Source organism: Homo sapiens, chromosome 11 (assembly GCF_000001405.40).
Source record: "Homo sapiens chromosome 11, GRCh38.p14 Primary Assembly".
NCBI classification, from domain to species: domain Eukaryota; kingdom Metazoa; phylum Chordata; class Mammalia; order Primates; family Hominidae; genus Homo; species Homo sapiens.
Genome location: NC_000011.10, coordinates 116,157,377 through 116,169,664, shown reverse-complemented (window position 1 = coordinate 116,169,664; position 12,288 = coordinate 116,157,377). Strand labels below are relative to the sequence as shown.

The following is a 12,288-nucleotide window of genomic DNA, read 5'->3' as shown; positions in this document are numbered from 1 at the left end:
AGTGGGGGACTCCTTGCAATGAACTCAACTTCAGGAGGGGTGTCAGCACAGTAATAGAATTTGAATCAAGTATTGAGAGCTGGGTTGGGAGATAAGAGGGGCCAGGCGCAGTTACTCTCAGGTGGAGTCATTTAAAATTTAAAACACAGATTAAACATCTTCCTTTTTCTGATGACAAGTACTGTGTCTATCCCAGGTCCCAGGGTGCTCCCTCACAGAGGTACAGAGATCTGTTGAATGCAAGAACCCAGGCTAAGAGGCTTCCTCTGTTCAGCAGCCAGCTCTGGACAAGGCCTGGGGCTGCTTTTCCTGCAGGCCCCCATCTTTTTCCACACTGTGGCCCAGGGGGCCTTGGGGCCTCTGCCAAGTCCTACCAGCCCCAGGGCTGCCTCCATTTCAGGCTGTTCATGTTGGTGTGAGCTACTTCTCCTATAATGGAAGTATTCTTTGTACCTCTTGCCTATTGGTTCCTTACTTTGAGCATGCGGAAGTGAGATCTTTCCTTGGATGAGATGTGCTTTGTGCTCTTAATGCTGGTTTCTAGGTTACCTCCTGGCTGCAGCAGGAGCAGAGCTGGAAGAACTTTGGGATGACTTCAGCCTTCTCTCTCCCCATTGACAGAGGAGACATTGAGGTCCCAAAGAAGGAAGTGACTTGCCAAGTTCACACAGCTAGTCAGCAGCCAGGTTGGAATTGAAATTTAGGATATATAACTCATTCAATCCTTCATTACATAGATTTTTAATAAATGCCTAGTGTATACCAACAACTATGTCAGCCAAGGGTAAAATGGAGAGTGAGAAGACATGGTCTACATTCAAAGAATTTGCCTTGGAATGTGGGAAGATGAACATATAATCCTAGATTTTTACAAGTGGTACAAAGGAAAATATCTGCGTGATGATACAAGAGACAAAAGCAGAGTGGGGGGTTACTCTCTAGAGATAGTGGTAAGAAAAGGATCACCTGAATAAGCAATTATATTGAGCTTAGATAAGCAGGATCAGCAGGGGTCAGGTGAAGAGTGTTCCAGGCAGAGGGAGCAGCCTGCACAAAGCCCTGCATGGGGAAAGTTTGGTGTCATTGAAGAAACAACCACCACCAAGATCAGCGTGGTTGAGCAGGGTGCGAGAGAAGGTGCCAGGAGATAAGGGTGGAGAATGAGACAAGGGCAAGGTCGTGCAGCAGGCCTCCTTGAGTCAAGTGGAAGAATGCCGATTTTATTCCCATTTCTGCCATGCAATCTGAAAGTTGTAGCTGTGTTTGTTTAGGTGGCTCAGTCTAGGGGAAGGCCAGGGGCAGAACACAGCCTGAAAATGCAGGGACTTAGCATGAGAAGGAAAGGGCTTCTGAAGACAATGGTAGGACATAGGGTGTATAGAGCTGCATTCAGCCAAGGGAGGGGACCCTAAGGGGGTACAAGCAAAGAGGCCCTGGAGGAAGAGCCCTGAGACTGGCACACAAAGCTTTCAGGTGGCAACTGAGAAGTCAGTTTCACCAGAAAGGACTCAGTACATCCAAGGATTGGGGCCAAGAGGCATCATCTAACCAGCCAGGGCCTTAACAGATCCAGATGGAAGAAGCCAGACTTGGGCCTCAGCATGAGCCAAGCGTATCCTTGATTAAGCTGAGTGTCTGTGAGTTACTTCCCTGCATGCTGCTGGTGCCCCCAGGAGTCCTGGCCAGGCGTTCTAAATAGCAGGTGGAGTGCGTGCCATGCTGCCACTCTCCTCACCTGGGAGATGGGCTGCAGAAGATGCATACGGCAAGGTGGCAGGGCCAAGCATGTTGCTCCCGTGGATGCAGCAGGTAAGGAAGGTAGAGGAGAAGAACGAGTGGGTGGGATTGGAAGCTTCCTTCGGCTCAGATGGAGCAGGGTCTGCCTTTCGTGTCTGGGCTGTCTTCTCTGGCCCTGGCTGTGGAGGTCTGAGGCCAAAGGATCAGCCTGCTTCTTGCTCCAGGTGAGTGTGACTGGCATGGCCCTGGAGACGGCCGCCCACGCTGGTTTTGCACCTCTGGTGACCATCAAAGCTGGCATCACAACTTGATTAACAGTGTGACCTCTCATAGGGCCGTTACCTCCAATGAACGAGATAAGGCATGTCAAACACTTAGCACAGTGCCAGAGACCCTGGACGCTCAGTTTAGCTACCGTTAGATTTACTATTTACTGGGTCAGGTCTCTTCCATTAATGCTATTTAGCCCCACTCCTTTGCCCTGGGCTGAGCTCCTTGACCTTCTCACATGACCTGATGTCCTCCTATCTTTTGAGAGCAGACAATATAGCACGGGGCCTTTGGTTCTCTGCTTGGTGCTGCCCCAGGGTGACCTCAGCCAAGTCGCTTCTGCTCCCCAAATCTGTTTTGTCATCTGTCAATTGATGTGCTTGTTCTAAATCAGAGCTCCCCACTAGGTTGCTGTGCCACATTGCCGAGCCACAACTAGGTTGCCTGTGTGTTGAGATGGTGAGTCTCTTGGCCCTTCAGATGCCTGGGTGGGTCAGGACAGGGTCTCCTCTAACTGCAAGTAGCCTGTGCTATTGACTTCAGCATGCAAATATTACCATTTTCCCTGTGTGACACAATGTAAAAAAGGAAAAGTTGAGAAGCCCTAGAAATCATTCCTGTTATGCTAATATTCTGAGTCATCTCCTAGCTTCGAAACTGGCCTCTTCCAAGAAGTCTGCCTGCCCCCACAACATCGTTCAATGATATTTCTTCATCACAGTCTTCTCAGCAGTTATGAGCTGCATTCACTTGGAATGAATGAATGAATTTGTACTTCTTAATATGTGACCTGTGGGTTATTTCCTGTAACAACAATGACAATAACAACAACTCCTCTCACTTATTGAGCACGTGGGTGCCAGACAGCTCATGAAGTACTTTGCTATTCACTCTCACAATAGTGCTGTGAGGGACGCGTGCACCGTTGTGTATGCACACATGGGAAACCTGAGACTTCAATGGTTGAACACAATTGCCCAAATAGGAAGCAGCTGAGTGATGACTTGGATGTGAGTCTGTCTGGTCTGATGTAGCCCATGCTCTTAAGTAGTTAAATAGTATGCCTTGTGTGTGTGTCCTCTCCCAGTTAGACTATAGATCTCCCAAAAGAGATAGTGTTTTCTGCATTCCTTCCATCTTCCCGAAGCTCAAAACTATACTCAACAGTAAGAGCTCAGTGATTACTCTTGGGCATGTTAGACACTTTGTTGTAAATTAAAAGTGAGAGGTAGAATAGCCTTTCCTGGGTCACAGGCAGAAGGCACAACTGACTGCTAGTGTTGCCTGGGTGTAGGTGGGTTTGTAAAATCTTACTGGTACTGTGGCACAGAAGAGCAATCCCCAGGTAGCTTGACTGCCATTTCAGGGTAAAACCGTCCCCAAGGGAAGTCCAGAACTGGAGAATTCATATAGCATGAGAATTGGTCCTGAGGCTTCCCACAGCTCCTCCCACAGTCCTGTCTTCTCTTTCTGTGAGAGGGGAAAGTAAGAGCCAGTGATTGTCATCTAGGATTAGTGGGTCTTGGTAGCCTGGAGTGGGGATCACATAGCCAAGCAGTGCTCATTTGTGGCCCTGGCCCCCAATCTACAGCCCTTCTCACCTCTCCATCAGTGCCTCAGGACTGCATGCTCAACCCTTCTTCCTTGCCTCTTTCCTCAGGTTCATTGTCCTCACCTGGCCTTCCCACTGCTTGGATTCTAGTTGGGTCCTGTAAAGGACCTTGGCCTCTTGATGAGTTGTCTTTGAGTGGCCCTGGGTAGCCCCCATCCCACTCTTCTTTCTCCTGAACACCCAAACTGCACACATATACATGATGTGGTTAAGGATCAGACAGTCCTGCATTTGACTCTCTGCTCTAACTCTGATTAGCATGTAACCTTGGATAAGTTCATCAACATTCACTTAAGAAATATTTACTGAGCACCTACTATGTGCCACATACTATTCTAGGTACTGGACATGTGGTGATATAGTGTGTAGTATAGAACAGGCAGGTGCATGCTTGTGAAGGTGTTCAAGTAAGGCCTCTTTGAGTTGAAGACTGAATGATGAAAAAGAGGAAATATGGAGGAAGAACATTCTATTGAGACAGAGGAAACAACCAATGCAAAGGCCCTGGGGCACAAAAAAGGCTGACACATTCAGTAGATTTATAGGGTGTTGCTGTATGGAGAATGAATTGCAGGTCATCAAGAGTGGCAGTAGGGACACCAGGGAGAAGGCTACTGCAAAGGTCCAGGTGAGCAATGATGAAGGCTGGGATAGATTATATCTGCTCTCTGAAACTTACTTTCCTTATTCACAAAATGAATATAACAAGAGTCCCTACCTTACAGGGTGGCCATGGAGATTAAATAAGTCAGTATTTGGCATGCAATAAATGGTAACTATTAGCATTAATAAAAAGAGTAATAATCATAAGCGTGGGCTCAGCTCTGTGAGCCCTTACGGGAGAACTGAGCCTCCAATTAAGCTGAGACTTTTCCATTCAGCAGGTCAGGGATGCTTCCGGTGAGTCAAAGACCAGATACCAGCTGCCCCTTCTGACTCACCCATCCCAGGTTCTTAGTAAAGGGCATCACTGGATGCTCAGTGGGGACGGAGGCAGGCACTGCACAGGGAGGAAGAACAGGTGGCCTTGGGAGAGAGGGCAGCATCTTCTCTGTGCTATGGAAGCAAGCAGGCTGAGGAGGGGAAAGGCCCAGGCCTCCCATACTCCCTGGGTTCCTGAGCCAGACCTAGGAGAAATTCTCACCTCATCCAGGAAGACTTAGAGTTGAAAAGAAAGAATTGAGCTAGTCGGGGAAGCAAGCCAGAGTATAGAAGGCAAGGAGGCAGGCTCCCCCTCTTTCTGACTTTCCATAACCCAGGGAAGGGATGTGGGGTAAATAGAGGAAGAGAGGGGGAAGGAGTGAGGGGAATCACTTCCCATCTTTGCGATGAGTGGATGAGCTGAAAGAAGCTGAAGGCCCCAAGAAGGATTTGGTTAGACGTCCACAACTGTACAAGACAGCAGCTGGACCCTACGGCACATTTCTGCTCGAATAAACAGGATCTTCTCTCTTGCAGAAATCCTTCTCTTCCAAGTGGTATTGGGGGCGAGCCCGCTGAGAGGTTGAGAGGGCTCTGATGACCTCCAGCTCCTGCCCCCACCTGACTGTCCTAGTTGTCTGCAATGGTGGCAAAGGGAAATTTTATGAGCTCTTCAGTCCTCAGGTCCCATGGGCTTTTGCCTTGCTCCAGACCATCTCTGATACACACATATACCTTGAAAAGGAAAAGAAAGAGAGAGAAAAGCTATTTTATTTCATTGCCAAACCATCCACTTTAAATACCCTTTTTATTACAGTATCTGCATAGTAATACTAATAATAGATCTTGTTGGCAGCTCTAATGAGGCTGGAGAATATAAGGTTTCCAATAAAGTTAATTGTTGCCTTTAATATTCTCATACATTTATACATGGTAAATCTTTAAAGGAGAAAAAACATTTCATTTCATCCCTGTTAAGCAGCCGGTCCTAGACTGGATGGAGACCAACAGTAGAGACGTGGGCTGGGAGCTTGACTGTCGGAAAACTTGGATTATGATCTCCAAACTTCCTCCTACCAGGAAGAGCATGAGTTTTGAGTCCGAGAGCTCTGGGTTTCCAGGTTGGTTTTGTCACTTCCTGACTTTGAAGCTAGGGCCAATCACTTAACCTCTCTGTCTCAGTTTTTCAGTCTCTAAGATGGGATTTATGATAAATGTATATAAAGCTCAGTATAGTGCTGGCATATATGTGATGTTCCATACATGTGAACTGTTATCATTATTTTAAGCTATTAAATAGTTATTATTTTATCCACTTGCTAGGTGTATCATTAATTGTGAAGTAAATCAGGGTAGTGCAGTCATTGTATTTGAACTTCACAGCTAACTAAAAGATCTTTCTGTTAATCTATTTCTTAAGGTTGTTTAGCAGTAAGCGATAGATCAGGGTTAGAAGCCGGGATTCTTGATCTCCAGCAACTTTCAATAATGAGAAGTTACTAGGCAGCCCTGATCTCCATACCCCACCTCCCCCCAAGTCTAGAGCATACTTGACTAACTTTACCTTCTGCCTACCTTTAATCAGACCCATGTCTACTGCCTGGTCCCTGAACTAATCGTGATTAAAATGCTGGGGTGAAGGAGGGCTACTTGTCCCTATCTTGCTACAGACACTCGTGATTCCTGTCCAACCTCTCTCAGTAGTCATAAATTTTCTTTGTTTTGACTTTTACATGGAGACAATTTTGTAATTTTTACAGTCACAAAGCAAAAAAGAATATATGTTTCACCATTTATTGTATTACCGATGTCATGTATTTTTGACAGTTCCATCACATTTCTGACATTTACAATGTTTTTTTTTCCCCTGGGGGGTGAGTAGAAGGAGCCGTTTTCCCATGCCCCACTCACACGATCCTGGAAAAGGAGAGCAACCCGAGATGCCCCAGGTTAGGGACAGGCCTGTGTGACCTTGTGTTTCAACAAATGGATCACAAACAATGCAACCTGCACCTCTCCGGCCTTCCCCACCCAGTCGGAGTTCTCCGCTCCACATCATCGCCTCTCCCGCTGGCAAGTGGTAGGAAATACTATGTGACAGGATGGTTGCCATGGCAACCCTCATTTCCAGTTAAACAACCGGGCATTGATGAAAGGAGTCTCGTTTGCTTTGGTTACAGGGTTTGCTGGGAAGGGTGTGGAGTGCGTTTCTTCCTCTCTTGTTTTTCCGTTTCTTACTCCTCACTTTCCTGTCTCCTTTTCAAGGATGAGATAGAGGCACTGAAGGGCCAGGTCCTAGAGAATGGGGAGTGTCGTTTCAGGCTGGATCAGAGGCAGCCGGGCTGGGGGCTGGGGGCTGGGGTCTGAGCGGAGGTCGCGCCTCCTGTCCTTGCAGCCACGGCTTTTCTCCCAGCCCCACCTGCCTCAGGTCCCCGGTTCCCCTGCCCTTCCAAATAAAGGACCTGTTGGGGGAAGAAATGGGCTGGCGGAGGACCCTGTGTCCCAACAGGTGGTTGGGTAATTAAGTGAGCTTTATGCATACAACACTGTTTTGCCCGATGTAATTGCAGTTTCCATATAAATAATTCACGGGAAATTATTAGAGTGAGGACATCGCCCGCCTCCTCATAATTTGCTTAACCGAAATAGGCTCTTTCATCATCTGCGTTGATTTGCCTTAAGACCATGCACTCAGCATCCTTCATAGGCCTGCTCCTCCGAAAACGAGAATGCAGAATTTAATTAAGTTATGCAAATTGGGCATCCCCTGCCTGGGGAGAGGCAGGGTGTTTGCCCACATGGCTGTAGGGTGGTGCAGGGAAGAAGGGGGGGGCATGATGTGCCCCAGGTGCCCAAGCAGTGGGCAGCTGTTTGGGAAGGAAGCCCCCCCCACCCCCGCTCCCAGCCACAGAAAAATCGCAGCACTGCAACGGAGAGTTTAAGAGCTGTACTCCTTGAATGGGGTAGAGCAGTCAGAGCTTGAACTCTGGGGTCTGCTTCCTGGCTTATTCGCTGTGTAACTTTGGGCAAATAACCTCACTGAACCTCAGCTTCCTTCTCTGTAAAATGAGGCTCATAAAGGCACCCGTCTCCTGGGGTTGAGGTAAGGGTTACATGAGAGGGTCTCATCAATATGGTTCTGGCCATAGGGCTTCATAAGCACCTGCTATTACTGTTATTATTATTACTGTTACTATTATTATGATTGTTGTCATTTCCATTTTGATTGTTCTCATTAAATACAGAAGGATCTCAGCTGTAGCTTCCATTGCTCTTGATGGGAGTATCTGCCTGAGTCTATCCTGGCCTTCTGCCACAGGGAGGGTTAAATTTATGACATTCTCCCTAGATTATCCCATGATTTTTGGAGGAAATTGTCAAGTTAGAGGGAAAAACCATGCATTTTGGAGCCAGACAGATCAAGATTGAATCCCAGTTCCCCTGCTTGTATATGTGTGGTCTTGGGCAAGTTATTTTACCTTCATGAGCCTTGAGGGCCTCATGGACAAGATGGCGGTGGTGTTCTTCCTTCTCTTGGAGTTTGTGAGGATTAGAAAGAATGTCTGCAAGGCACCAGGCACATGCCTGCCACACAGTTTATGCTCAACAAATGGTCAAATGAATCTGAATCTAGGCAGGGCCTGCCTTAGCCTCCTCACTCTCTACCCTTCCTTTTTCTTAGTGGTGGTTCTTCCTGCACATCCCTCCTGGCATCCTTTCGCTTGTACTTTTCTTTTAAAGGATCAAAGGATTCAATAAACATCCACCCTGAGGTATAAGTGACTGATGAGCTTAAAATCTCTGCTCCTCCTGAGGGGATTGTCATTTTCTCAAGGGGATAAAATACCTAATTTTTCTTAAACCAAAGGTTTGGTGCTCTAATGGGGGCATTCTACAAGCCTGTCATAAAGCAGAGGGGTGCTCCCAAAATCTCTACTGGAAAGTGATAGGTTACTTATAAGGGAAGCTCTGAGTCTGGGAACCCACCCTGATGGCTAGTGCCTCTCATGGATTCTCTCTTTTGCTGAAATTTAAGATTTGTTAAGCAGTTAGTTGCTTAATTCATTTAACAAATATTTACTGAGCACCTGCTATATGCCAGGCACTGTGCAAATCATTGGGTTTACAGCAGTAAGCAAAACAGACATAGTCCCTGCCCTAATTGAACTTAAAAGCCAGTGGGAGTGACAGTTATGAAACAAATGTTAGCATTGCTAAATATAAATATAATTACACATTCTATAAGAGTATGAAGAAAATGAACAGGGGGCAATAAGAGTGAATAGAAGGGTGGCTGAATTCAAATGGCAGGTGGATGGGTAATGGAGGTATCTCTGCAAGAGAAGGAAGAGGAGGACTGAGCTAGGAGAACAGTGAGAGGGAGAGCATTACTGGCAGAGGGAAGTGTGTGTTTAAAGGCTCGGAGGCAGGAAAAAGGCTGCTGCATTTGAGGAACTGGAAGAAGACAGCAGCTGGAGTGACTAAAGGGAAAAGAGGTGTTTGGTGAGGCCAGGCGCAGTGGCTCATGCCTGTAATCCCAGCACTTTGGGAAGCCAAGGAGGGGTGGATCACCTGAGGTTAGGAGTTTGAGACCAGTCTGGCCAACATGGTGAAACCCTGTCTGTTCTAAAAATACAAAAATTAGCTGGACATAGGGGCACATCCCTGTAATCCCAGCTACTAGGGAGGCTGAGGCAGGAGAATCACTTGAACCTAGGAGGCGAAGGTTATAGTGAGCTGAGATCGCAGCATTGCACTCCAGCCTGGGTGACAAGAGCAAAACTCTGTCTCAAAAAAAAAAAAAGAAAAAAAAGAGGTGTTTGGTGAAATAGGCAGAGGTCAGGAGTGGGAAGTCTTAGGGCAATAGGGAAATGCAGATCCCAGGGTCCCAATTAAAACTGCAGATCAAGCTGGAGGCCCTTCAATAGCTAGGCCTTGAGTCCCAAATAGGCCCCTTGATTCATTTTAGAGGAAGAAAAAAGCAGACTGCCAGCAGGAGGGATTGGGGAGAATTTTGGACTCAGTGTCAGAAAAGCCAGTTTGGTTCTGGCTCTGCTAATTGTTCCTTAGGAAATTAACTGCCTCTGAGCCTTAATGGCCTCACCTGTAATGGAGCGCACTGTGTATTTCCCATTGGCCCCTCCTGAGCCACTTTTGAGCCTTCTGTGCCCTGCTCTGGGCCCCAGGAGGCTGATTTGTATGGACTGCCTCAGTGGGCTCCTTTTCCCTCTGGCTTGGCTAATGGGGAGTACCAGTACAGAAACGGGGGCAGAAGAAGAGTGAGTTTAAGATACGGACTTCCCTTGCTCTCACCCTACTGGGCAGTGGGTTGTCTGCATCTCTCTGTAAGAGGCCACTACCCCAGTTTCACATTCACCTCCTGTAGCCACTGAGTCCAGGTGCTGGTAGTTGCTATCCACCAGGTCCTAGCCTAGGAGTAGCAGTGTCTCCTTCATATTGCTAGTCCCACAGTGCTGCACTATCCCTTGTCACTTCCTCTTAGCCCTGCCCACATCTTTGACAAGAGTCACCACAGTGAACATGATGGGTAATTTTCGATGCCAACTTGCCTGGACCACAGACATTTGGTCAAATATTATTCTATTGTATCTCTGAGAGTGTTTCTGGGTGAGATTAACATCTGAATCAGTGGACTAGAAAAGAAGGCTGCCCTTCTTAATGTGGGTGGGCTTCATCCAATCAGTTGAAGACCTGAATAAAACAGAAAAGCTGAATAAGAGGTCACTTCGCCTGCCTGACTGCCTCAAGCTGGAACAAGCCCTTTGCCCTTTGACTGCAACTTAACACCATCAACTCTCCTGGGTCTCTAGCTTGCCAGCTGCAGATACTGGGACTTGTCATCCTCCATAATTGCATGTACCAATCCTTTAATAAACACCTCTCTCTGTCTCTGTCTCTCTCTCTGTCTCTCTCTCTCTCTATGTGTGTGTGTGTGTGTGTGTGTGTGTGTGTGTGTGTGTCTATAGTCATGTGTCACCTAACAACGGAGTTACCTTCTAAGAAATGCATTGTTAGGTAATTTTGTCATTGTGCACATATCATAGAGAGTACTTACACAAACCTAGATTGTTTACCCTGTTATATACCTAGGCTATATGGTATTCTCTGTTGCTCCTAGTCTACAAACTTGTACAACATGTTACTGTACTGAGTACTGCAGGTAGTTGTAACACAATGCTAATTATTTGTGTACCTAAACATAGAAAAGGTACAGTAAAAGTACAGTATAAAATATCCATTATAGTCTTACGGAATCACTGTCATATATGTAGTCAATTGTTGACTGAAACATTGTTATGCAACATATGACTATATATATGTAGTCATATAGAGAAAGTTATATATATATAGTCATATATATAGAGTTATATCTATATCTATATATGCAATTGGTTCTGTTTCTTTGACCAATACAGTGTTTGACAAACATTTGCTGACTATTGCATATAACTTTATCATCTCTCAGGTCCCTGCCAGTTCTCACACATCAATTTAAGAAACAGACTATAGAGGGGAGCAGGGGAGCAGGTAGGAGGTACAGGGAAGCTGTGGCTGTCCTGTGATTGGCCCAAGCCCCAATGTCCCTTCATCTTCACTCTTTCCCTTCCTTCACCACCCCCAGGCTGTAACTGGGAAGGTAGAATAAGAGAAGGGAAGAGACAAAACAATCTTCCCTACTGCTCCTATATCTCTTCTTGGATCCCTTTACCTTTTATTTTTAAGTTTTATTAAAATATAATTGACATACAATATACTGAACATATTTAAACTATACCATTTGATGAGTTTTGACATATGTATATTTGAGATAATGAACATATCTGTCATTTCCAAAAGTTTCTTTGTGTCCCTTTAAATCCCTCTCTCCTGCACCCCCCACCCCTAGTCCCTAGGCAACCACTGATCTGCTTTCTGTCACTATAGATTCATTTGCATTTCCTACAATTATATAAATGGAAGCTACAATATGCACACATTTTGTCTGCCTTCTTTCACTCAGCATAATTATTTTGAGATCCATCTGTGTTGTAGTGTATATCAATAGTTCATTTCTTTTCATTTCTGATAGTATTTCATTATATGAATATACCACAGTTTGTCTATTCTCCAATTGATGGACATTTGGGATGCTTTCACTTTTTGGCTGTTATAAATAATGCTTCTGTGAGCATTTGTGTAGAAGTTTTGGCATGGGTATACACTTATACTTGTCTTGGGTAAGTACCTAAGAGGAGAATGACTGGATCATATAGTAGGTGGTTAAATTTTTGAGAAACTGCCATGCTGCTTTCAAAATTAGTTGCACCACTTTACATTCTCCCAGCAGTGTATGAGAATTCCAATTGCTTCACATTTTTGGCAACACTTGGTATGTTCAGGCTTCTTAATTTTAGCCATTTTAATAGGAGTACAGGGGTATCTCATTGTGGTTTTAATTTGCATTTCCCTAACGAGTAATAATGTTGAGTTTCTTTTCATATGTTTCTTTGCTTTCTGTATATTTTCTTTGGTGAAGGCAAATCTTTTTTCTATTTCTAAATAACATTGTTTATGTTCTTATTATTTATTTTTGAAGATTTATATATTATAGATATGAATCTTTCACCAAATATATGGTTTGGAAATATTTTCTCTCAGTCTGTGGCTTATCTTTTTATTCTCTTAACAGTGTCTTTGAAGAGCAATTTTAAATTTTGATAAAGTTCAATTTACAAGTTTATTCTTTT

The 12,288-nt window shown here is 45.2% G+C and overlaps 2 annotated features.

The window, feature by feature from the left end:
- Positions 1,337-1,837: an enhancer, noted in NCBI's record as "H3K4me1 hESC enhancer chr11:116038545-116039045 (GRCh37/hg19 assembly coordinates)". NCBI's record gives its function as "activates a minimal SCP1, AML or CMV promoter by ChIP-STARR-seq in primed H9 embryonic stem cells {active_cell/tissue: H9 hESC(primed)}" and the evidence as "EXISTENCE:reporter gene assay evidence [ECO:0000049][PMID:30033119]".
- Positions 1,838-2,338: an enhancer, noted in NCBI's record as "H3K4me1 hESC enhancer chr11:116038044-116038544 (GRCh37/hg19 assembly coordinates)". NCBI's record gives its function as "activates a minimal SCP1, AML or CMV promoter by ChIP-STARR-seq in primed H9 embryonic stem cells {active_cell/tissue: H9 hESC(primed)}" and the evidence as "EXISTENCE:reporter gene assay evidence [ECO:0000049][PMID:30033119]".